Source organism: Homo sapiens, chromosome 6 (assembly GCF_000001405.40).
Source record: "Homo sapiens chromosome 6, GRCh38.p14 Primary Assembly".
In the NCBI taxonomy this organism is placed as follows: Eukaryota; Metazoa; Chordata; class Mammalia; order Primates; family Hominidae; genus Homo; species Homo sapiens.
In genome coordinates, this window is record NC_000006.12 from 126,897,283 (window position 1) to 126,924,394 (window position 27,112).

Genomic DNA, 27,112 nt, shown 5'->3' on the forward strand with positions numbered 1-27,112 from the left:
CAAAGGATGATATTAGAAGAGGAATATTTTAATAACCAAGTGTCTGGGATTACTCATTCCATGGATACCAGTAAGCTTCCTTCCCCACTCACCCCTGTCATTGCCCAGTGGACTCATGAGCAAAGTGGCCCTGATGGCAGGAAGGATGTTATGCATGGGCTCAGCAACATGGACTTCTATTCAGCAAGGCCAACCTGGCTGTAGCCACTGATTAGTGCCCAATATGCCAGTAGCAGAGACCAACACTGAACCCCTGATAAGGCACCATTCCTCAAAGTAATCAGCCAGTTATCTGGTGGCAGGCTTATTACATTTGACCACTTTAATCATAGAAAGGGAAGCAAATTATCCTTACTGAAATAGGCACTTACTTTGTATATGTATTTGCTTTCCCTACTTGAAATGCTTCTGCTAAAAATACAATCCATGAATTTACAGAATGAATGATGCACTGTAATAGTATTCCATACAGCATTGCTTCTGATCAAGGAACTCACTTCACAGCAAAAGAGATAAAGCAATAAGCCCATGCCCATGGAATTCATTGGTCTTACCATGTTCCCCACCATCATGAAGTGGCTGGCTTGATAGAGCGACAGAATGACCTTTTGAAGACACAGTTACAGAGTCAGCTATGTGGTAATGCCTTGCAGGGTGGGGCTAGGTTTTCCAGAAGGCTGTATATGTTGAGTCAGCATCTAATATACGATGCTGTTTCTCTGATAGCTGGGATTTATAGATCCAGGAATCAAGGTGGGAAAATGGGAATGAGACCACTCGCTCTTACCCCTAGTGACCCACTAGCAACATTTCTGCTCCACGTTTTTGTGACTTTATGCTCTGCTGGCCTAGAAGTTTTAGTTCCAGAGGGAGAACTACTCCCACCAGGAAACACAACAATAATCCATTGAACTGTACATGAAGACTTCCACCTGGTCACTTTGGGCTCCTTACGCCTCTGAGTCAACAGGCAAAGAAGAGATTTATGGTATTGGCTGGGGTGATTGATCTGGATTATGAAAGAGTACTTGGACTACTTCTATACAATGGAGGTAAGGAAGAGTATGTCTGAAATACAGGAGATCCCTTAGGGCAGTGGTCCCCAACTCTTTTGGCATCAGGGAGTGGTTTTGTAGAAGACAATTTTTCCATGGATGGGTATGGGGATGGTTTCAGAATGAAATTGTTCCACCCCAGATCATCAGGCATTTGTTAGATTCTCATAAGAAGCATGCAACCTAGATCCCTCACATGTGCATTTCACAATATAGTACATGCTTCTATGAAAATTTAATGCCACTGCTGATCTGACAGAAGGCAAGCTCAGGTAACAATGCTCACTCACCCACTACTCACGTTCTGTTGTGTGGCCTGGGTTCCTAACAGGCCACAGACTGGTATGGGTCCAGGGCCTGGGAGTTGAGGACCCCTGCCTTAGGGTGTCTCTTAGTATTACCATGTCCTGTGATTACAGTCAATGGAAAACTATAACAACATAACAACTGGCCCAGACTCTTCAGGAATGAAAATTTGGGTCACTCCATCAGATAAAGACCCATGACCCACTGAGGCGCTTGCTGAAGGTAAAGAAAATAGAATGGGTAGAAGAATGAGTGGTAGAAGGAGTTACAGGCACCAGCTGTGACCACATGACAAGTTATAGCAACAAGGACTGTAATTTTCATGAATATTTCCTCTTTTTTATGAATATATTTGTGTATGTATCTATATATATACATATATATAAAGCAATTATCTTCATTTTCTTTCCCTTCTAATTCTTTTATCATGTAACATGAGATGTGTTGACTTTATATTGTATTTAAGTATCATTAATTTCACATTATAGTATTTGAGTTATAGGCTATCAGGAGAAGAATAGACATCACTCAAGTACTTTACCTTCCCTCCTAGGGAAGGAGTTAGCACATTTTTTATTGTATGCAGGATAGTTGTGTCATGTCAGGCAGAATTATGACCTTGTTTTCAGAGATTAAGTATAGTTTAGGAAGATGTGTACAGGTGTCAAGTTTACAAGGCATTAGTTTGTGATTATTAACTTTATGTGTCAACTAGACTGGACTAAGAATTGCCCAGATAGCTGCCTAAACATTATTTCTAGGTATGTGCATGAGCATGTTTCTAGAAGAGATTAGCATTTGAATTAGTGGACTAGGTAAATAAATTTACCCTTACCAATGTGTGACATCATCCAATCTGTTGAGGACCTGAATAGAATAAAAAGGTAAAGGGTGGATTCACTTTCTCTGTTGGAGCTGGAACATCCATCTTCACCTGTCCTAGGACATCGGCACCCCTGGAGCCTCTGGACTCAAACTGAGTTACACAACTAGCTTTCCTTGTCCATCAGATTGCAGATGACAGACCATGAGTCCTCTGGCTTCCATAATCACATAAGCCAATTCCTGCAATATATTTCTATGTCTATATCAATATGAATATCTATCATTGCAAACACTCTCATCTGCCAAAGCTGATATATGCCACCCCTACTCAAGGAAGCAGTGTGGCTTCTACCTGCCAAATCTCATGTGAATAACCCTCATCAGCAGAGCTTAAACAGTATCCAGAGTTCTGCTGGCAAGGGATTTTGGGAAATTCAGTTTCCATGCTTCCAGACCTTATAATACAAGGAGACCAGAGGTGAATGGAATGCATGCTGTTTGCCAAAGACAGTATCCAACATGAAACCATTAAGGAAAAGAATCAGCATTATTTGAAGAATAGATAGAGTGAAAAAAGTACAAGTTATAGTAGGTCTCTGAGAATACAGAGGAAAAAAACCTTAGAAAAAGATGAGGGGATGTATAGTAGATGTGAATGGCAGAGCCTAGTGCTCCAATCTCATTCCTGAGAGGTGAGAAGCAATACTGAAGACTATAGTAGAAATAAATTGTCCTCATTTGAAAAAATATGAGGAGGTAGATTGAAATTCAATTGAAAAATTCACACTTAGATGTTCCTAGCAATGTTAGATAATTTCAAGTATTATAAAAGAAACAGGTCAATAAGCAGCTCAAGCAGATTTTTTTAAACTAATTTGCAAATGCAGAAAATTTATATGCTATAAATGAATGTAAATTTACACACAAAACTTTCTATAACTCATTATCTTGATATAAAGTCTATTGTCACTAATGGTTAAAAAATAGGTGTGTTGAAATGAGCTAATTTTAGATTTGTCTGATGTTCCTTTGGGTTATATTTTTAGGCATCTTTCTGTCAGGTGCTCTTCTCCATTCTCAAGGATTCTCTTTTCCCTCCTTTTTCCCCAGATGACATACACACAAAGAAAGTATCCATGTCCTCATGATAAGACAGAGGTCAGAGAGTGGCCTCTGAGCTGCATAGATCCTCATGTGCTACCCTGGAAAGTAAATTCCTTATTTCACCCAGTTATTGGACATGCCACACCTGTGTTTACAAAGTTACTGCTGTCTTCATTGGTTTTGGGGAGATATTGTGCAGAAATACCCCACTGAAGTCTCTGACTTTGGTATAGCCTGCTTTCAAGAGGTCCCAGCATTCTGAAGCTTCCTTTTCTGGACCTCAGGCCTTTTTTGGTTCACAGTTCTTTTTGCCCGACTGTTTTCCCAACCAGAAGTCTCCTAGATGCCAAACAAAGGCAATGGTAATCTTGAATCTAACTAAGGGCTCTCTGTCAAGATACCTCCCTCAGGTATTTTTACTATGTCACTTGGTTGACATCATTTTTCTTTTAGACAATTGCCAAACACAGAGTTTCTCTATGTTTTTCAGTTTTCTGGTCTGCTCTTCAAAAAGTGAGACACTAGGCTTTCTGCTTAGGAATTTTTTTTAACTTTCTATTTTTATTATGTACATTGCCATGCCTCTTTGAGATCTGACCATGGGGTAGGGATGAATGAAGAGGAAAGAACAAATAGAAATATCTAACAACAACTTGGTCCTTCTCAAACCTTCCTCTTTCCTATTTTCTGGAACTTTCCTACACCAAAGCAAACTTCACTCTCTATTTTGGTGCAGAGTAAAACAGTGATCAGATTTGCAAAATCTACTCTGATATCTAAAAGGAAGATTTGGAATTTATGGAATGCAATGAAGCTTACCTTTCAAAATTAGTGTGTCATTATACAGACTGTGTTTTTAATTTAAAACTCAAAGCTGAATAATCACTTTTTTTTTTACCTTTAGACCCTTCTCTACCCGTGAGCAATGATGACTGTCAGTGGCTGTGAGAGCTGTGAGAAATCTAGGAAAAAATATATGGCTTAAATATCTCAAAAATTATTCCTGTACATGCTCAAAGGAACAAAATTACAATTAGACTTGTCCTATACAAAATGGAAGAAAGTGGAACTATAAATAATATTGTGAGATAAAATATCATAATTCATGAATTCCATATGAATTCAATAGTAAAGTATGATCAACTATATAAGAGGTCAGAAAATATACAACTCATATTCTGCTCCTGAAAAACTCAAAATCACTGAGTGACAGACTAATTTACTAATTTAAATTTAAGTATGAGAAAATAGCGTTATGAAGACTTTCCTCAGTATTCTATTCCAATGAAATGCTTCAACTTAAGTATAATTGTTTTATAAACAAAATATTATTGAATTCAAATAAAATTATTCTTAAAAATATACATAACATAAAAATATAATTTAATGACAAAAAGAACTCAGGTATGTAAGCCTAGATTTTATTTTCAAGGTTATTAAGTAGTAGTGGTAGATAAAATAAAATCACTAAATTTCTTATTTTACATGATAAACAAAGTCTTTATATTGTTCTTTTCCTATTTTATACTTTTCTCTTTGTAACAAAATTATGATGTTAACATAAACTTGTGAAAACAGGTTAAATAAAATGTTGCGTGAAAAAATAGCCTATTTTATTTCATCACATCCCGAATAAACTTCTACTAACTACTAGAAGTTTCTTCTTGCCTTTATTTTCTAATTATTTTGTTTTTAAATTGTATCAGAAGAGAAAATATAGGTTCTTTTCTTGTAATTAAAAGTTAGAATTTAAAATAATTTAACATCAATATTTGTGAACTTTGTTTGTCAACTCATATGTAAAGCTTTGCTGATTAGGATAGAACAATTCAACTCTATGCTACTTCCAATAACTGCAATGACAAAGAATAAAAATAAAAAGTAGATCAAAGAGTTATCTGGCAAAAACAAAATAATAGAAAGCAGTCCTAGAGGAGTCAATGAAAAAGCCTGTGTTCAGAGGAAACTTCACAACTTTAAAGATATACATTATTAAGCAAGAATTAACAAAACAATAAAATAAAATAAGAATAAAAGAAAAAATATCTTAAAAGGAAAAATTAATGTATTAAAATCAAGAAAAAATAGAATAAATAAACCCATGAATTATTGGCAATAAAATTAAATTAGAAAGGTTTCTTAAAAATCTGATTAAGGAAAAGAAGACAAATAAATAGAATTAGAAAGAGAAAGGGTAGAGACAGCAAATAGAATAAAATGTATAAGAGATTACAATGCAAGACAATGTAATGCTAATAAATATGTAAAACTGTGAAAAGGAAGATGTTCATGAAAGACATAAACTAGCAATAAATATTTATAATGAGGTCGGGAGATCGAGACCACGGTGAAACCCCGTCTCTACTAAAAATACAAAAATTAGCCGGGCGTGGTGGTGGACGCCTGTAGTCCCAGCTACTCGGGAGGCTGAGGCAGGAGAATGGCGTGAACCCAGGAGGCAGAGCTTGCAGTGAGCCAAGATCACGCCACTGCACTCCAGCCTGGGCAACAGAGCGAGACTCCGTCTCAAAAAAAAAAAAAAAAAAAAGTATAACCTGAATTGAATAAGAACCATTGGCATAATGGAAAACTTTTCAAAAAATTACTCCAAATTCTCCAGGGACTGTTTTACTAGTGAATTGTTTGAAACTCTAAAGGAACTAGTAAATTCAGTTCTACATAATTTGTTCCAGAACATAGGGAAAAAAAACCATGGAAAGCAATCAAATCTATTACATGAATCAAGGATAATTCTGACAGCAAAATCTGACAAACATTATAAAAAAATGCTAAATACAGATCTCTCTTATAAATACAGATTCACAAATGAATCAATATTTGGAAATGTTTATGCCTGGCATTTATTAGCTACCCAATTAATGGCTTCCACATCACTAAAGAAAGCAAGGGTCTCAGAATGAATTTCCTCAGTTTCCTGACCCCACATCTACACATTTGATTCACATATGAATCTATCCTCACCTCATTTCCATTTCAGAGGGGGAAAAAAAGTCTTTTCTTTGTGCAAAAATAAAAGCTTCCAACTATGCTTTGGACCCCAACCTACAGGCAAATAAGGATCCCTGCTCTGTCAGTTACTTCTTCTTAACTTTCTCTTAAGCCTCTTTCTCTCTATTGATTATTTCCTTTCAGCTGTTGAAAAGTTATCCCTCAGTTCCACATCCTCCTCATTCATTACTTACTTAGTGACCACTTACAAAGCATCAGATGGGCTTAAGAGTCATAACCAGATAAAATACACTCCTTGCCTTCAATAATCTTTCCCTCAGAGGAAACCAGCTAAGTCATCAATTGCAGGGCAAGATGGTTAAGTGTTAAAATGTTGCTGTGCTCAGGTACCACTAGAGCTCATGAAAGAAGGATCTGGGAAGTCTTCCTCTCTAGTCAATGTCACGTCTTTATTCTTTCCTCCATTGATTATCTTCTAAAAAACGGTAGATTCCATTTGTCATCTCAATTCTTTACCTCCCATTAATCCCTCCTTCCACTGCCCTCAGAAATTCCCTGAAACTCCCTTTCCAGGGTCAAAAATAATTTTTTGTTCAAAATCCAATGATGTTTTATTCCATGTGATGTTTTCCTTCCTTGTTGCATTTGATACTATAGATCATTCCCTCCTTGAGACTTCCATAACTACAAGCACTTCTGCTTTTATTTCTTCCTCTTTGGCCATTCTTACTTATTCTTTTTAAAAGATTCCTATTCTTCCACACAGCTCTTTATTATGGTTGAACTGTGCTGTCCAGAAACACTGGCTACTTTCATTTTCTCAATCTGCACACACTCTCTCAATACACATTCTCTCTCATCAAGTTTCATGGTTCCATCCACTACCTAAATGTGGCTTCTAGTCCCTATTTACAGTCTGTACCTTCTCTTTTGGAGTCCAGATTCAAACCTACAGCTCTCTACTGAATCTCTCCAAATGAATGCCTAAATGGTTTCTCAAACACATGTCCAAAACGAACTTAGTATCTTCTCAAATCTTGCTGCTCTCTACACATTCTACCACAATGCAAAGCATCACTGTGTACTCCATTTGTCAAACTATCCTCTGTTCCCTCCCCTAGCCCGCTCCCCCATCAATCTAGGACATCAGGTCCTAGTCTCTGTACTTGTTTGGGTCTTTTTAATTTGTCACTTCTCTACCCTGACATCCTCAGGTTCAGGCCATCAGTAATTATTACTTGTATTACCACAGAAGCTGTGTACATTTTGTCCTTGCCTTTTTTCGTGCATCCTAATACACGTTTTTAAAAAATTTCCACTAGGAATATCTTTTAAAGGGCAAATCTGCTAACTAAGGTCACTCCCTATGTGTAAATTTCTTCAGTAATATTTCCAGATTTTTAGCAAATTATACAAGGCCCTCATGACATCACTCCTATGTCCCTCCTGTCTCATCTCCCTGTGGTTGATAGTTTTGTGACTATGGTTTTTATTTCTTAGCCGACAGGAGGTGTATGTTTTGACCAGAGTTTGAAAATCAATGTCTACATGCACATGAATGCCCTCAGCTAACTCCCACCTGTTCTCTTCACTCTCCTTGTGACTACGTCAATCACTTTTTTACATAAAAACTGTCATTTCTCACCTCCTCCCCCAGATTATTTACAGGTTCTGACCTCTCTTAGTAGCGAGAGACTAGTGGCCCTTTATCAGCTCGTTCTATCTCTACACCTTCAATAAACACTCTTCTTCTCTAAGTATTCTGTACTTCAGGTATGCTGAACACTCCTAACTTGTAATATACTGCAAGGCAGTTAGATGTTCTCTAAAAACTTGGAAGTGTGTTTCCAATTAAGGGTTCAAATATTAAAATCAATATAAAATGAATTAGAAAACACATACAAAATCAACATAAAACCAGAAATGTATTTCATTATTAACTTCATGGAATAATGGAATGACCTTTTGTTTTTTGTTCTTTTTAGAGACAGGGTCTTGCTCTGTCACCCAGGTTGGAGATGAGAGTGGGGAGCTATTTGGAAGAGGGGAAGCAAGAGGACATAAGTTTGGCCATAAACATTTTGTAAGGAGAGGGTGTCCTGTGGGTCAGGATGTCACTGACATAGGGACATACTCTGCATGTTATCACAATGAAAGGCTCATATGCATTCTGCATTTAAAGCAGATGCTCTTCCTCTGATCTCACAAAGCAATTTTTGATAATTCTAGTCTTCTACATGGGGACAGACTTCTCTATATAGGATGACACAAAGGTTTTGTGCAAATAAATTAGATTTATCATAGTAGATAAATAAATTAGAATTCTAGTTCCTTATATCGTGTTTTGTGAGTGAGGTTTGCTGGTCTGCATTTATCTTCCCCATTCTTTCAAGTCTGGAACACTAAAGACTGAATGATTAAGTCTGCAGGGCTGAGTATAGACTCTGAAATGTACTGAATTCACCAGGGGGAAAAAAAAACGATAAAATACTATGAAGAACTTGGATAGCCTTTCCAGGTCACACTTCCTTTGTCTCACTCTGAGCCTGTGTACACATTGTCCTCTGTCAGCAGAAATGTGATCTTCTCTGAATCTTTCCCCTCCCACGCAATCCATGGCTCAGTCGCTGTCTGGTGCACTCTCCCACCACTTTCTTATTGCCTTTTCTCCCCGTATCTTGCAATTACTTGTTTATGTGTCTGTGAGCTCCTGTGCCTAGCACATACTTGATACTCATAAATGCTCATTTAATCAACTAACTCACATCCTGGTCTTTGGGCCAATTCTTTTTCCTTTATTTTTCTTTAATTATTAGACCGAACATGAAATAAGGTGCTTTCTTGGGAACCAAGGCTGATGCTATTATCATATAAGACTTGTACAATTTGGTTGGAAGCCACATGTTTTAGAAACTTTTTACTGCATCTACTCATTTATCTTCAAATTATTTTCAGCTTCAGTTAAGCACAGCAGCCTCTATAGCATGGTTACTTAACTGTTCTTGCCATAGATCTAGATGTGACTATAATTTTTTTGTTTTGGTTTGGTTTGGTTTGTTGCTATTAATACCACTGGGCTCACCCTCATGTACGATTTTGTCTTTCAGTAAAGTAGCCATTTAATATATAATAGAGGAAGGCTTTGAGTTCTAAAAGGTCTTGACTGTGTAAAATACTCTTGTAACCTGCAGCTTATAGAATCAGGGCATGTCCTAATGGTTCAGTAGTTTAAGAGGTGTTTGAATTATTAGGTGAGGGAAGTCACTGTAACAGTTAAGCAAAATAACTAAATACATCTGAAGCCATATAATTTAATGTATTAGGAGCAGATCTTTTGAAAATTTCCAGAAAGTTATCCAATATCCTATTGACTAGCATTTTCAGACAAATTTTATAGCTCAAACCCTCAACTTAAGTGCCTATGTCGTCGACTCAGGGAGAAAGAAATGGCATAATGGTAACTCTAGCCATAGAAAAAGTGCTGTTTTTTAGTACACTATTGTTTCCCAGCAAGTATTGTAATTGAGAAGAAACTTCCCTTAAATGTGCTAAATCAATTAATTACCCCCACACACTTGCTTTAACATTCTGCACTATTGAAACAACTTCCAGATGTCACATTTGCTAATAATTCTTTCTTCATCATGTTTCAGTAAGTCTACTGTATTACTGCAGCTAGGAAGGTAGAGAGGCGCAGAGCCGTGGCCCTTTGTTATAAGAATCACTCTGCTGATGAGCTAAATCTTGGCATGGACACAAACTAATTTGCTATCTTGGGTAAATAATTTACTCATTTTCTACCTTGACGTCCTCATCTGTAAAAAATGGGAGTAGTGATTGGTGGTGCTGAGGAAGCATTAACAAAAATGGATATAAGGAATTCTATGTTTTGCAAAGAACTACACATGTGCTTAGTAGTAATCATAGTTTGATGTTCCTCATGTTCTTGCATAAGGATGACCTCATTAACTCATTTTCCCATTGAGAAAGTGTGTATGGCAACACTGTGCTCTGTTTGCTATTAAATGCAGTCTTTTATTGTTTAGAGTCAAATGCTTGTTTTATTTTAGCACATTTAAAAAAAATGTTATTCTAACATACTCAACAAATTAGATTTCTGAAGTCCACTGTTGTGAAAAACCTGAATAGCATCCTGTTTACCCTAATAGTAAGTTTTATTCATTAAATGCTATTTTACAACATGAAGAGATACATTTGGAGTTGTTTTGCTGCTTTAAATTTTTTAGAACCTTTAAAATCACATCATCATTAGTTGAACTTATTCTTAAGTTTTGGATATTCTACTAACATAAAAGCATAAGGCAAATTTGCTTTCAATAATTTTCTTCAAGCTTTGTACTTTATTAGAAATAACTCATTTATAGAAAATCTTTTATTGCATTGGTGGTGAGAATAAACACATAGTTCTCAGTGACTTTTATTATTTATTATAAAGTAATTTGGCAGGGTGTTGTGTAGGCAACTAAACGAAATAAAAGATTAATCAGAACTACCAATCTTTTTCTGATTTGCAGAGTAACAGAAAACAGCAGCCTAGCCCTGTTTTACTCCCCGAAGGTTTAGTTCAGTATGTGCCAGTGATGGAAAACATCGTCCGCCTATAAAGCAACAATTAGGGCTGGTTTCCATTGACTCAATCAGTTAAATGTAAAAATACAAAAGACCAATATAAAATAAGCTCTCTTCTGTGAGGCTTCACATGCCAGAAACGTGAACACCCTTGGATATGTGTTACTCCTGCTATTTACCAATGCTCCAGTGGAATTTTTAGGTTTAAAAGTTCATATTTCAGTTGCAGAATTGAATACAGAAGGGTAAAAGTCAGCAATTTTTTCCCTCGGTTATAGTAGAGTTTAGGGAAAAAGACATGGCTGGAAGAAAAGAGAGCTAAACTCACTTTTTTGATAAGGCTATAGTCAAAGTAAGGCTAATAGATAAATCATTGAGCTTCTTCGTATATTTGTTTTCTTATATGTGCCTTCTATTAATGGATATAAAATATTAGAGAAAGTGCAGCCTACTCAAATTTGCCAGCATTCTTGTAAAGAAGCACATTACTCAGAAATATTTTTTGAAAGAGGCCTTATTAACATATACACAGTTCTCCATATATTTTGATGACAGGGCAGCAGAAGTTATTTGTATTAATATCTATCTATGCAAAGTAGAACCTTAAAAATCAACTAGAAAGAAATGTTAGCGAACAATTTCTGGCTTGAGGAAAGATGTGAAATTAAGATGTTTTCTGCAAAAAGGCTAAGATGATTATAACAGTTCTAGGTCATGAAATGCTAGTGTACATTCACTAATAATCAAGTATTTATTATTTACATACACACATATTTTGAGTTATATAGAATGAATTTAGGTTAAATGAATGTTTGAGATATGTAGAATGAATTTAGTCTAAATATAGGAAATATCTGCCTGGCATTGAAGGTAGAGAATTGAGAGTAATCACTAACATAGTTGTCTTCAGTTACAGCAAATAATATTGCGGTGTATTAGCTACATTTCTGCTTGAGAGGAAGGGAGGTAACTGGTGATGCTTAAAGGGCTTTTTCAATTTAACTCTTCTTTAAAAGTGTACCAAGAAGCCATTATATTAATAAGATGTTGCTGTTGTTGTATCGGTCACTTTGTTAATAACCTTTCAACCAGTTTGAAGTGTTCCAAAAAAACCAAACATTTTTACAATTGCCTCAGAGGATGCGAAAAGTACTTAATTTCTATAAATGCTTCTTCTCCTAAAATTTTGCAAAAACTGATATATTATTAAATTAGCACAATTCTGCATCACTTGCTCCCTGATGACATAAGGGCCTTTGCTTCAGATTGGTAGGAATACGTATAGTTTTTGCATTTTTCTTGGTGGGTGGAATAAAATAAAAGCTTCACGTCTCTGGGTTCTCTGCCCTAGGCCTGGTGTCACGAGTATTTGTCCAGTTTTGTTCCAAAACAAGAAATTAAAAGTGAAGGAGGGGAAATTTCCATTCTGGTTAGAATGAGAGTGGAGATGAAACACAGAATGACCAGGCTTCCTGCTGAACCTCCATAATTTACCGAATAAGAGTTAACACTTCTTAATGAGCTGATGATTACCAGGCCTTTAGCCATCTGGCTCTGCTTATGTCTCTCACCTCATCTTCAGTTCCTTTTCTAGTGTTTCTACCCGCTCAGCATACCAAACTACTTTCAGTCTCCTCAATGTTACATCCTTTCACCTCAGAATCTTTTAAGTATGAATTCTTCTGCCCAGAACATGCTTTCCTCTATTCAGGCAGTAACTATCTAACTTTAACATGATTTTCTCCTAAGAATCTTGAGTTAGCTGGTTTTCTTTACTTGTATTGTCACTATACTGCCTACTGTAGACTGTTGTGTTCAAATTCTAGCTCATTGTTCTGTAATGCACTTTCATGCAATGCAGCATCTTTTTCTAGAGTGCTTTGTATCTAAGATTCTGGATAAAAATTAGATTCTGTCACTTAGATGCATCTGTGGAAGATATGGAAGAGAAAGTGAGATGGGATCATCTTTTCACACCTTTCAGCTATTTCTACTGGCTCACAAGGTGATGGAGACATAAAACTTTTCTAAGGTAGCAAGCTAGTTGCAAGGGGCAACAATGATATATTTGTATCAGACCACAGCTATGAAAAGGTGGAGTTCTTGTGTTCAATAATTACAATGGCAGCTCAAAAAAAAAAAGGCCATCAAGATAATTATTTCATATTATGTAGAGGAAAAAGTAACACCAAGTTTTTCATTATTTCCTATAGTTTCTAACAACCATGTTTATCACTATCATAGCAATCTTTTAATCAAACTCTGTAGAAACTTTATATTGCGAATTTAAGAACAGTATGTAGAAGGTAAATTGATGAAGCATAAGTTGATCCAAGGTAGAACTGTTAACCAGAGATCATCTTTGTCATTTGCATCTCTAGACAAGCCTCAATATAAGGTTATGTATGATACTTTTTACAAGCATGACTTCGACATTTGCAAAAGAAACTCTATCATTCTATCTCATATAATATTATTCAGATTCTCAACTACATAAGGAGAAATAGCAGTTAAATTTTGATATGTTTTGGCTGTGTCCCCACCCAAATCTCATCTTGAATCTTAGCTCCCACAATCTTCATGTGTCATGGAAGGAACCCTGTGGGAGGTAGCTGAATCATGGGGATGGGTTTTTCCTGGGCTGTTCTTGTGATAGTGAATAAGTCTCACAGGATCTGATGGTTTTATAAAAGGCAGTCTCTTGCCTGCCGCCATGTAAGATGTGACTTTGCTCCTCCTTCATCTTCCACCATGATTGTGAGGCCTCCCCAGCCATGGAACTGTGAGTCAATTAAACCTCTTTTTCTTGATAACTTACCTAGTCTTGGGTATGTCCTTATAGCAGCGTGAGCACAGACTATTACAAATATTGTTTTGCATTTCTATCTGTGTGGAAAATGAAAAGGAAAACACCTTATATCACCAAAACCATTTCATAACTCCCAATCACCTTAAGTACTAGACAAGGTAGTATCTTAATTTTCCCATTTTTTTCTGAGACTAAGCTCTAAAAAAACCGAACACAATTAGTCGGTGCTAATGTAAACAAATTAATAGCAGGTACTCAGAAAGTGACAGGAGAAATTAAGAGTGTGCCGTCATAAAAGGTAGAAGCAAAACAAAAGGCAAATCTACTACATAAGGGGATTGGAAATGATAACAGGTTAAGTCATTGAACAACCAACAAGGTGATTTTGGGGGTATGATGGTGGGAGCAAGCAAACAGTCTAACCCTTGAAGTCATAAGTTAACTTCAAAGCACCGTTTAAAAAGGGTGTGGCTATTATAAATTTGAAAATAGTTACACAGATTAATTTGGTTAAACATTAGGATCCATCATGCTGTGAACTCTTAAATTTCTCTAACCACTGTCCTGTTGTGCTCTTATTTTGAAGGGCTAATTTCTTCATGATCATTTAGCTCCCCACTAAAATCCAGCTTCTGCAAGATATCTCCTAAATACCTCTAGGTAAAAGGATCCTATCCCTTCTTTCCTTTAATACATTGTCATACTCTTTTTGATGTCAACATTAGTAATAGTCTGTTGTATGCTGTTACTTAACTATGACAGTCTGTAGTCCCCTGCCTCAGCGCTGATGGTAGCATTATGCATTTAGATGGTTCCCTGTGAACCTTTATTGAATGAATGAAAGACCTGGTAAGGTTTACCAGAGCAGATATAGTGAGGCACAGCCTAAAAAACAAAGCTCCATAATAAGAGTAAGAGAAATGAGTCTCAGCTGAGCCGGTAGCTGACTTAGTAACTAAGGCAGTCACTAAGGCCTTTAGGACCTTGATTTCCTCATCTGTAAAGGGATCTCTAAAGCCTCATCCAGTTTAAATGTTCTTGTAGTATCTGGATGCTATAATATACTCGAATAATGCCTACTTGAGTTGGCATCACCAGTATATAAGTACGTATAGAAATAAACAATAATGTGGTCGTTAAAGGAAACCACAGAATTATAGATTTACTTCTTTAGTTTGTACACATAGAAACAGTGCCATAAGATATTCCTTTGCATGAAACATGATTCTGAAAACAACTTTCCACTAAAAATGCTACATGAACTATAAAACTCCTTTAGCTAAAAGTGTTTCATGTACCCTAAAAAGACAGAGAAACCAAAAAGAGAAGACCATGTTAATGATATGTAAACTGATGGTAGGAAAGGATTAATGGCATGCAATCTTCTTTAATCAACATTTTGTGTCATAACATAAGGAGGTGTCATTTCACCAAAGGAAAACAGAGGTTACAATCTAATTCCTCTGTTAATGGTAGCTGGTTATGATTTTTTTGTTGTTGTAACCTGGTACCATCCCTACCGATGGTTATGATTTTTATATAAAAATTGATACATGTCCAGAAATATTTAACCAATATCACAGCCTAAGAAGTTGAATCCTTCTTAAACTTCAAAAAAATAATAAAATAATAAAAGAAAATGTGGACCGTGTGTGTCTACATGTGTGTGTGCATCTGTGTGCATGCACAAGTGTGTGTGCATGCGCACTGGTAGCAAGGACAAAATGGAGACATCTTTCTTTGACTATAATGCTGTTGATTTTGTTACATGATAACTTTTACTTTTTAAAATACATTGTTAACTTAAAGGAAAAAGTGTTGTGAGTTAACTACAAAAATTGTGGTGTGGCTTTGAACCATTGTGAAGTCTTTGGATATAAAGATGACATCTCACATTTCTTTTGGCTTATGGCACCTAGTCCAGTGCTTGGCACATGCTAGGTGTTCAATACATGTTTATTGAATTGGGTTTCCATTTGTGAGACCCATTCACTATTGATATATTATTATCAGGGCAGTAATCATATAAGCAATCACAAGACCATTAAATTGACACAAGGAGTATTAATTAGAAAGAAAATGTCAATATTCACAGACCCTATTTGGCCCTTAAATTATATGGTCCCTTCTGATTACATGGTTCTTTATAATAATTATATGGGCCTTATACTATATGGGCAGCTCTGACTGATATGCCAATGTAATCCTTTCCCCTTTCCAGGTTCTAGGATTCACCAACACCAAATTGGTTGCTATGCCATACTTTTCCTTACCCACAATGCTTAGTCATTTATGACATAGATGAGTGACTCCAATGCTGGCTCAGACAATATACCAATCAGGTTGTTCATTCCCAGATTCAATACTAATTTCCGCATCCAATACTTGTGAATATGAAAATGTAAACCATTCCCCTTTCCATTTAATTTAAACCTTTATTTTTATTAATTCCCTGAGTTACCATATCTTTTTTCTATATTCCCCCCAACAGAATCATCTCAAGTATTTATGAGCTTTAATCATCAAATAACATACTGACTCTATCATCACTCCACTCTCAAACTTTATGATCTTCAACTTTTAAGTCTATCATAACAGCAAAGATCCTCCAACTCTTTGATCAACTCCTAGAAATATCTTAGAGATATCTGCCCTAGATTTAGAAATAAGCTGTGAATAGGAGTATAATCTGGAAAATGGTATTTTTATGTTGGAATTTTGTTTAAAAGTAAAAGTGAAGGGAGGGGGGAAGACAGAGAAAGAGGAGAGAAAAGGAAAAAAGAGAAAAGAGGCAGAGAGAGAGAAGGAGTTTCTACAAATTCACTAAAGAATTTGGTCAAGCTGTAATTTCAGCCACTGTAAAAGCTGACAGATTTCTCATTGAAAGCTACCAGACACTCTTCTGTTTAACAACAACACATACCATGTGTTCAAGAGCAAAAGTATGCCATTCAGCTAGGAAGATAAAAAGCTGTTTGTCCGATTTCTTAATATGGGAAGAAATACAAATAAAGATTTTTTATCTTCCTGTTCTTTTTCTAGGACTTTTGACTGTTTAAGCTGAATAATGATAGTGATGATGATGGTTATGATGCATGAATGAAAATATTGCAAATATCTCTGCCAGTAAGAAAGAAATAAAGTTTTAAAAGCTACAAAATTTCCTACCCCAACTCAAAGATAAAACAACATTAAAAGGTAGAGATAGGTCCTTTTATGTATGCATAGATATCCACATACATTTACTTGGTCTACCATGAATTGCATGTAGTTTTTTACTCCACTGAAGCCTAGATAATGAGTCAAAGCGAATGGTACAACCAGCTGACTTAGTACATTCATTCCAACTGCTGATCAAGTCCAATAAAATCAAAACAAAAAAATTAGCCAACTGAGCTCTTTAGCTGTAATGGTTGATTGACCAAATAATACAGCCAACACTGCCAGCCAGACTAAGATCTCAGCCGCTCATTGGCCAGTTAAAGGAAGGCAGCCTCTTGTGACTGGATATGTAATGGCTCTTTCATCAGCTGCTCAGTCTATCTTGGGGTAAACCCAAAACAACTCCTGAGTTGAGAGGTTTATGCTTTTTAAAGAACCTGAAATAAAATATTATATTTTGCTTAGACTTAGACCAGTGTCAAATCTTATCACTCTTCCCACTGGCTGTCGGTCACTGTTGAGTTTTCTCTGACTGTTAACTCAACATCAACAATTCAAATTTTTCAGCTGGTTCATTGCAGCCAAAAGGATCATGTTATTAGAACATTCAAGATACAGATTAAATTGTATATCAGGGGCTGCCTGCCATCTTAGCAGTATGGAGGCATGCATTTTCAGGGCTTTAGCTGCTGCTTGTTTTTGTGCATGAACAGGAAATATTGTTTAAAAAATTGTGCTGTGAATGACAAGAGTAGAAATGAAAAAGTATCATTGAATGATTTTCTATAGTGATGAAGAATGAAATTTTTATCACTTTCAGCTTTGCTCTTACATCTGTTTCCTGGAAAGAAGGAATTCAGTGCCAGTAACAAGTATGCTAATTACAATTTGGGCCATAGCTTCAAAATCTTTAAGTAAATGCTGAATGCTTTAGTTCAGTCAGGAAATTTGCTAAGACACATTTCTTCTGACAGCTGCCAAGGAGAATGTCTGTTTTTAATACTTGAAAGATATACTATATTTGCACTTTTCAATAACTACAGTTTTACAGCTCCTATTGGAGTCTTGCTGAGCTCCTGACTACATTTTTCAGCATTGAATGTCATAAGGTAGTTCACTTAAAATAGGTTTTATTATTATTATTATTATTTTTTTTAGTGCCAACCATTCAAAGTCTCTGGACAGCATTTAGTTCAGAGTCAAAAGAGCTAAATCTTTTGCTTTTTTATTCCATGTAATCTCAGTGTCATTGAATGACAACGGACCTAAATGTCCAACCTGCTGGTAACCCCAGTGCTCAGGTTTAGGAGCATAGTGGGAGTACAGCCCAGCCAACCTCATTCATTCTGGCCATCTTCATGGGCAATAATGGTCTTCTTACCCAGGTCCATTGCACCATGATCTTTATTATTTTCAGATAATCAGAAAAATAAGCATTGCTGTACAATGATGTCTTCATTTCTTTTGCTTAAAACTGGCATAATACTTCAATTGAAGCAACCAAATTAGTGACAAGTAGGAAAGATTTTCCAGGTCTAAGTTTCTTGCTCATTATGTTTATAAAGAAAGTAGTAAAGGCAAAAGTAGGCTTCATTTCAAAGAATCTAGCTCATTAACGTATCAAAGAAGACTTGTGTAAATATTTTACATAAGCTTCTTTCATGGCTTCTACCTCTTCTTCCCTACAGTAATAAAGAAACCTGATTCCTGTCTATCAAGAAAAATCCAAATTTATTTACAGCTGGATGGACGTGGGCCAAACTGTTTTCCTTAGCATGACTTTGGGTTGTCCTTTCACTGTAGACTTGCTCAGCATATGATTTCAATATGGTTGAAATGAATGCTGACTTTCCAAAACAGGCAACAGTCTGAAAATCTTGGCAGTTTATGGGCAAATGACCTATTTTTTCTGCTTGTTTAAACTGTTTAATAAAACCTCAGGAGAAATACTAAAAATACTCAATGCCTTGAGATTGTTTTTTTCAATAAAACCAATTGAATTGATCTTCTTCGCAGAAGGAGAAGAAGCAAATAAATACTTAATTATCCATAATTATCAACACCACCAGCAATGCCTTTGCCATTTCTATAGTCTGCTGTAGGCCAGGGATTGTAATAGATACTTAAAGTGCAACATCTCATTCAATATCCATAAAAATCATGTAAGGTATATACTCTTATTCAATTTCATAGATAAGGAAACTAAGTTAGAAAAGTAATGTGGCTTGCCTTATGCTATACAACTGAAATATGGCTGAGCTGAAATTTATATCCAGGACTGTTTAACCACAAAATGTTTTCTCTTCCCAATCACTTTTCTTGGAGCAAGGAAAGTAGTAGAGGGCATGGCAGGTTTTTCCCAGATGAATTAAGTAGCAAAATATGTGCTTTATTATTTGATCTATCTAATCACCTAAATGGCATCTGGGCTTAAAATATTGATAAAATATATCATGAACTGCGTAAGTCAGGAAACTTGCTTTATATGTCTGACATCATCAGAACACAAAACACAGGAAGGTGTTTGTAGATTAGAAATTCTGTGAATACTTACAACTGACTGCAAACTATATCTAAGTGAACATCTGGTCCAGAACCAAAATAACAAAGAAGCTAGAAGTGTTATTGTTAGAAGAAGGGACAGTAACTTACAGAAGAATCTCAAATTTTCTCAGATTTTTTAGATAATTTCAGGCCCATTTAATGCCTGAACTACATATAATGCTAATTATGGGGAATAATCAAGTAAATAATCAGATGTGATAGAGTTATATACAATCGGTTGCATATAACTCTATCACATCTGATTATTTACTTGATTATCCCCCATAATTGACATAAACAGCCTATTTCCTCTTCCGAGTCATTTATTTATTTAATTATTCATTCAACACATCACCAAATATTTGTTGAAATTACTGTGTGCCATGTACAGTCCCAGGCCTGTACATGAAAAGATACAGCAAACAAGAGTCCTTTCCCTCAAGTTCTTTCTTATATTGAGCCAGAATCTCTTTCACCACTACTTCCAATTTGTGTACATGTTTTACCCTCAGAATTAATCAAATATGTTTTTTCAAGCAATATTACTTCAAATATCTCAAGTCACTGAATGAATGTGCCACTTTGGATGGGAGTGGGTGCTTCTCCCACTGTTGCTCTATTTTTTTTTTATTTCACTTTTAGAAGAGTCATCTTGAGAAAACTTTGTCCTTAAGAGAAAATCTTTGGATTTGGAGAATGAGAGGAGCCATAGGGACAACAATCGGGAAGGGAGATATAACTGGTTGTTTGGGGCTGGCTCTAGTTTTACTTTAAGTGATCGCAATAAAGGGCACCCCTAATGTATTTTAGTATTGTCCTGAGATTAGGAAGCAAACAGAGGTTTTGAAGAAAGTAGTAAACACGTATTTGGCTAAAATAATCCATGACTTATCTCTCCTGAGGATCTAATTGCAGACACGAGTGGCTAGATAGCATTGAAATGCAGTAAAGGAAGGGATACAGTATACACATTTCCTGATATGATGTGGCTTCCCACTCTGTACCTCCCCTAATAACTATCCTTGGAGCTTGTTCTATTTGTCTGTATATGTTATATTAGTTTGGTTCAAAAAGAATTGTGGTTTTTGCCATTAAAAGTAATGCTTTTTATGGCAAAACCTGCAATTAGTTCTGCACATTACTTTTAACGGTAAAAACAGCAATTACTTTTGCACCAAACTAATAAAATGTGTCACCCAAAGCTCAACTCAATAGTTATTTCTCAACTTGGAAATTGGTTCTAGGATCCCTGTGGATACCAAAGTCCGTGAATGGTTAAGTCTCTTATATAAAATAATATAGTATTTGTATATAACCTACACGCAACCTCCCATATACTTTAAATCAGCTCTAGATTACTTGCAATACCTAATACAAAGTAAATGTTATGTAACAGTTGTTATGCCATATTTTTATGTGTATTCTTTACTGTTGTATGTTATTTTTTACAACTTTTACAAAATATTTTTGATTGGGGATTGTGCAGAACCCTCAGATACAGATGACCAACTCTATTATATTTCTAATGTGAATAGTAGAAATAAAGCAGAATAAGTTATTATCTAATTCTAAATATATTATTTTTAACTAAGGTAACCAACCCTTGCATTGGCTTTTTTTTTTTTTTTGGTACTAACACTGAATCATATACAGCTTAATTTTTTCTACAACTTTGTATTCTTTCTATTTACCTACTATACCTAATTTCTATCATTCTCTACATATTTAATTGCTGTTTAAATGTATTTTATTAGAATCAGTCTTTCACTCTTTTAGTCCTAAAAATATTATTAACCAGAATAGTCACATTTTTTCTTTAATTTGCTATCCATAAAATTGATGAGCATAACACATATATTTTATTCACATCTTGGCTGAATAAAAAGCTAAGAACAAAGGTATGTCATTCTAATAACCATCTACCCCCAGAGCGACGGAAACCTTATAATCAATTAGATTAGACATTCAGCTGTTATTGTCCTTACATCTGGTTAGTTTCTTAGTCATATTCATAGGAAGAGATAAAAATAGATGTCTGAAATTTACTTGTACTTTTTTACCACACTTTCTTATTTCATGGTTTAGAAGCCCACTCAAACAAGAAAACAAGACATCTTATTTTTAGGGAAGCCATGATAGGCTAAATGGATTCTATTTTTTCTTATGGTATTCATAAACTGTTACTAATAAACAATCACATAATTACTTATGAAGAAACCAAAATTAAGGCACTGCTGTGATATTGGTGGAAACAGTTCTCATTCTCTTTCTGGTCTCTCTCTCTCTCTTTCTGAAGAATCAAAACATGACAATTTCTTACTTCCCTGTCATCTCATTCACTGCAATTCTTCAGAGACCACTATATTTATCAATTTAATATTTTATTTTGTCAGTGTTCTAGAATATAACTCTACCAGATCAGGAAACTTGCACAAATTTGGAGATTCTAGAACTCTTTGATCATCCCTTTGCAATTTCTCTTACTTTGATCAGCACTGAATCTACCTTTGTCATGTGGTAGTCTATGGCCATTAAGTCAGTATCCAAATAGGAATTAAGGACTGTTGAAGTCATTCCTGCCACTTCCTTGGGATAAATTGAAGTGTTACTTACTGAATCTATCTACGGAGTTCAGGAAAAAAAAGAGTCAAAAGGAGGAAGTTCAGGGAATCCAGAAGCAGCTGACCAGTTAGCAAAGGACAAACAGACTTTATAATTAAACTACCTCAGCTATCCCTCACTGTCTAAACCAGTGCCACTCAAAAGTGTGGTCCATGGACCAGTAGCATCAGTATCTCCTTAGAGCTTACTGGAAATACAGATTATCAAGTCTCTTCTCAGACCCACTGAATCAGAATCTCTGAAGATAGGGGCCTGGAGCTTGTGTTTTATCAGTTTTTCAGGTGACTTACCCATGCTAAAGGTGTGATAACCACTCTTCTATGCCAGATTATATCGGAAGATGTCCCCAGGGCTAAATTCTCAGTATGGTTGTAGGGCTATATGGATAGAAATAGAAAGGAAATAAGGTAAACCAAATACATTCACTTTTTCAATAATATTTACATAATGCTGTATGTTAACTCCCTCCTTTCACATCTCAGATGTTTGGAATAGCAAATCTTCTAAGTGAGTTATGGTACATTAGTGAATTAAATGCAAAACCTGGATTAAAGTTGAGATGTACTTACTCTTTGTTCAGATACAATCCATTATTTTTATTTACCTTCACGAAGTTCCCATTTACCTCTTCTGAGTAATCCACTAGAATTACTTTCTTCTCACTAAATTTTAGGGTCTACCAAGAGCCAGGTCCAGTAACATGTCTTTACAATGATTCAGTTCCTGATGACGTTTCTATTACAAGATCTTGCTAAAAGCTTATTCTTCACTGCAAAATCATGTGCTGATTCACTACTGAAAGTTTGAGAAAAACCAGGGATATGCCTTAGGAGACAGCAAAGCATAGTAGAAAGTGCATCAGCTTTAGAGTCAGACTGATCTAGCTGTGACTCATGGTTCTGCCACTTACTAGCTATGTAATCTTGAACAACTTACTAAATTTCTGAATTTCCACTTTTTTGTCCATTGGGTTTGTTGTGCAATACTTAATTGTTTATTTACTTATAAGTCTGTCTGTGTATGGATTTATTTACATGTGCTTATCTCACTACAAACAGCTGATGTGGTGACTAATGAAATAATAAATATAAAATATCCAGCCCTTTGCCTGGAGCCCAGATGTTTAATAGTAGTTAATTCTCTTTTATGTTTTCTTATTTCTTCTGCTTCTGAGAATTCTTTTTACAAAGAAGTCAAAGCATTCATCTTTGGAGCAGACTGAATGTGTGCAGTAATAAGCAACCTGACCATTACAATCCAAACGTAAGAGGTTTTCCACTCTAAGCCTCTGCTATCCAATATGGTGGCCTTCTGTGGCTCTTGAGGACTTCAAATGTGCCTAGTTTGAATTGAGATGTACTATATGTATAAAATAAATAGTTAATTTTACAGTTAATATGAAAAATGAAAGAATGTAAAATATCACACGAATACATTTTTATGATTATGTATATATACATATTTTGATTATGTGTTAAAATTATATTTCAGATCTATCAACAAAAATAAACATATTATTACTTTTACCTGTTTCCTTTATTTTTTTAAATGTGCCTACTAGAAAATTTAAAATTGTATATGTGGCTCACATTTGTGGCTCTCTTTATATTACTATTGAATAGCACTGTTCTAAGTTATTGGCCTTTAGACCACATTTTCCCACCAAGTAAGTGGTTTTTTTATTTTAACTCTTCTTGTCTACTTTAAATATAGCAATGTTGGTAGACTGGAAAAAGAAAACGTGATACATATACACTATGGAATACCATGCATCCATAAAAAAGAACAAGATTATGTCTTTTGCAGGAACATGGATGGAGCTGGAGGCCACTATCCTTAGCAAACTGAGGCAGGAACAGAAAACCACATATTGTGTGTTCTCACTTGTAAGTGGGAGCTAAATGATGAGAACACATGGACATAGAGGGGAACAATAGACACTGGGGCCCATTGGAGGGTGGAAAGTGGGAAAAGATAGAGGATCAGGAAAAGTAACTAATAGGTACTAGCCTTAATACCTGGGTTATGAAATAATCTGTATAACAAGCCCCCATGACACAAGTTTACCTATATAACAAACCTGCACAAGTACCCTGAACTTAAAAGTTAAATTAAAATAAATAAATAAATATAGCAATATTTCAATCAGTGGTCCCACGTTAATGATTTATCAAATATTTGTTAATAACTACAGAGAGAACAAATCCTCAGTGAACTTGTTTGCATATCGCTGTTCAAGAAATTAGAGGCATAGGCGGGGTAGATCAAATTTATGCACAGCAACTCCCTCCTCTGGTTTTTCCTAAGAGAACTACACCCTTCATTGCCAGTTTAATAAACATTCTACATATGAGAAAGACAGTAGGGCTAGAAGTTAAAATTATACACCTGGATGGGTGTGTACTGGTAAGCTGTCATTCTTTTTACAACAAACATTATGAGCAAGTTATTTGCTTAGGTAGTACCATATTGCAAGGCATACATTACATTAAAACTATAGATAAAATAGCTTATTTTCCCTTCCTTTCTGCCCCCAAATTAGAAATGCCCTTATCTAGCATCTTTCCCTGTCTTTACCTTATTGAAACCGATACCAAGTCCTAGTTTCTACATGAAATTTTCCCTAGTTCAGTTCAACCTCTCTATTATTTGACATACTATAACCGGTGCTATTTGTTATATATACATATATTACAAATAGAAAAGGCACATACATATATGTTATATATACACATATTGCATATATGTTGTTATATATACATATATTACATACAGAAAAGGTATATATATAACAGCACTCATTACAGGGTGTGTATATATATATATATATATATATATATATATATATATATATACCCTTCCCTAAACATGATGCTTTTTTTACCTAATTGTTTTTCAATGTAGGTCTTATCTACCTATCCATGCTCTTAACACCTCAAGGAGATTGCCTATACTCCTTGGTGTCCCTCATAGCCTTTGCTTAAGTAGAGTAGGTAACTTTGACTATAATGATAGGAATGAAGGTAAAAAAGAGCAATATAAAAATGAACATCTATGAATATATGAATTACAATTACAAGGTCATTATGAACAAGAAAGATCTGTTTAGCATTTTGGCCGAAATGCCTTTTCTGCATTTCAAATTTATCAAAGCTAAAATTGAATCCATGAACTTCCTTTTCTTAACTTGATCTTGCTTCTCTGATTCCTATTTTAGTGAGTGCTGCTACCTTCCCTTGACTCAGATATATATACCCTTGACTCACTCTCCCCTAAACCCCCTACATTTAGCCAGACTCCAGTCCTGTTGATATGATTCAAATTCATTTAGCTATTCCAATCCTCTCTGTCAATCCCCTATCTCCATGCCTCCTGTCTTCCCCCAGCTCCCAGCCCCATCAGTGGGAAGTGTCAAAAACACAAATTTGAGCATGCCATGCTTCTGCTTAAAATCCCCACTCTTTTTCATTACTTTGGAGTAAAGTCTTAATGTTTTTACAGTAACGTGGTTCATTTATAACACTTCAATGTCAACTCTCATTCCTGTTGCTCCTGACCCCAACTTTGTGCTAACATCATTTTGGTTCTCCTAATCTGTCTCTCTTTTCCCTACCTCTGGGCCTTTCCCATGGTATTCCCTGCATGAATGCACTCATTCCCTCTAACTTGATTAGCTCCTCCCACCACCTCCAGTCAGTTGACCCTGGATTGTATGTTCCAGTGGCATTGCATAGGGACCTGATTATAATTCTGCTTGTCTGACTCTTCCACTGAAATGCAGGCAGAGTCAGGGTGTGCTTCTTTTGCCCTTATAGCTCTTCCTGTTAGTACTGTGTGTGTCTGGCTCATGTAGGGACTCGATCATTATTTTTTGAAGAAAGAACAAAAAATTTGGTGAAGGTAAAGAAAGCAGGGAGATAAAGAAATTTATTTTATTATTCTACTTGCTTTCAAATATGTAATTTGTTATGATCATTACTGAACCACCATTTGGGGACATATCCTTAGGCTGTTGCTTTTTGCTGTTAATTTCATTACAGGCTTTTTCTTGCAATTAGGTTCACAGTTTTAAGAAGAGGTTGGTTGAACACAATAGCTAACATTCATAAGACAAATTGGTCTTTCTAGGGACCAACACCCACCCTCTCCCTGTGAGTAACAGCACCATGCCCTTACAAATGGAGCTAATTTGTCCACTGTAAATACCTGTTCATTACTTCCATTGCGACAGTCAATGGCAAGTGAACTCAATTAGTCAATCAATCCATTAAAAAGTTAATGAATGTTTGTTCTATATTCAGCACTGTGCTAAGCAATGAACAAATACTAAATGAATATGAGTCTGGAGAATCTGGAGCATAATTGTAAGAAATTCTCTCTGGGTGAAAAAAAATAAGTTAAATACAAGAAGTAATCATAGAGAAATACCATGCTAAAGGGGTACTCCTGAATCCACACAACAGAGTAAATTCAGAAAGAAATGTCAATGTGGTATTTTATCAATAAATATCAAAGAACTGTCAACATCAACTAGAACTTCAAAACAAGCAGGTGAAAGATATTGACCTAAAAAAAAAAAAAGCCCAATGGAGTTAACAAGGTAGACGTTTACTCACCAAAATGTCAGTCAGTAAAGCTACAGTCATGAACGTCTGCTCTGTTCTCCCTGTTTATATGAACAGTAGAATGCCAAATATAGGGCATTCAGCAATCACTGACTCAAGCCCTCATTCTCAGCCAAAAAGTCTCCCTGCATGACAGCAGCAGCCAAGGTGTTTGGGTCAGGCACTGTGAAATTGCCTTGGCTGACTAGGATTTATGTTATTCCAGCAAGGACATAATACTCTTGTCTTGTTGCTCCATCACATGTGCTCCAGGGGAAGAAATGGTATCAAGGATTCCAAAGCATCCTATCTCATGTTGTGCTCAAACTTTCAAACAGTACATGCTAAAGAGGTATAAATGCTTTGGGCCACTTTCTTTTTCTAACCAATAAAAGACAATATTTGTCAAACTGTTGAAAGAAAACATGGCAGCTTATATAATTGGTTTAGATAAGTTAAAAAAATCCCTTGGATGAGGAACAATTTTACTCCATAAACACTGAGCTTACTTAGAAGCCACA

At 35.7% G+C, this 27,112-nt stretch overlaps 1 long non-coding RNA gene across 7 annotated transcripts in view; it reads right to left on the reverse strand.

The window, feature by feature from the left end:
• LOC105377989 (uncharacterized) overlaps positions 1 to 27,112 on the reverse strand; it is a 347,578-nt gene that overhangs the window by 32,016 nt on the left and 288,450 nt on the right. For 4 of the 7 annotated variants that reach the window (XR_002956387.2, XR_007059747.1, XR_007059746.1 and 1 more), the window contains 2 exons: positions 22,278 to 22,364; positions 13,669 to 13,736 (listed from right to left, as the gene is read on the reverse strand). This is a non-coding gene — a long non-coding RNA (uncharacterized LOC105377989). The remainder of the gene's footprint in view (positions 1 to 13,668; positions 13,737 to 22,277; positions 22,365 to 27,112) is intronic. The other 3 variants (XR_007059748.1, XR_007059745.1, XR_007059744.1) reach the window with 1 other exon arrangement.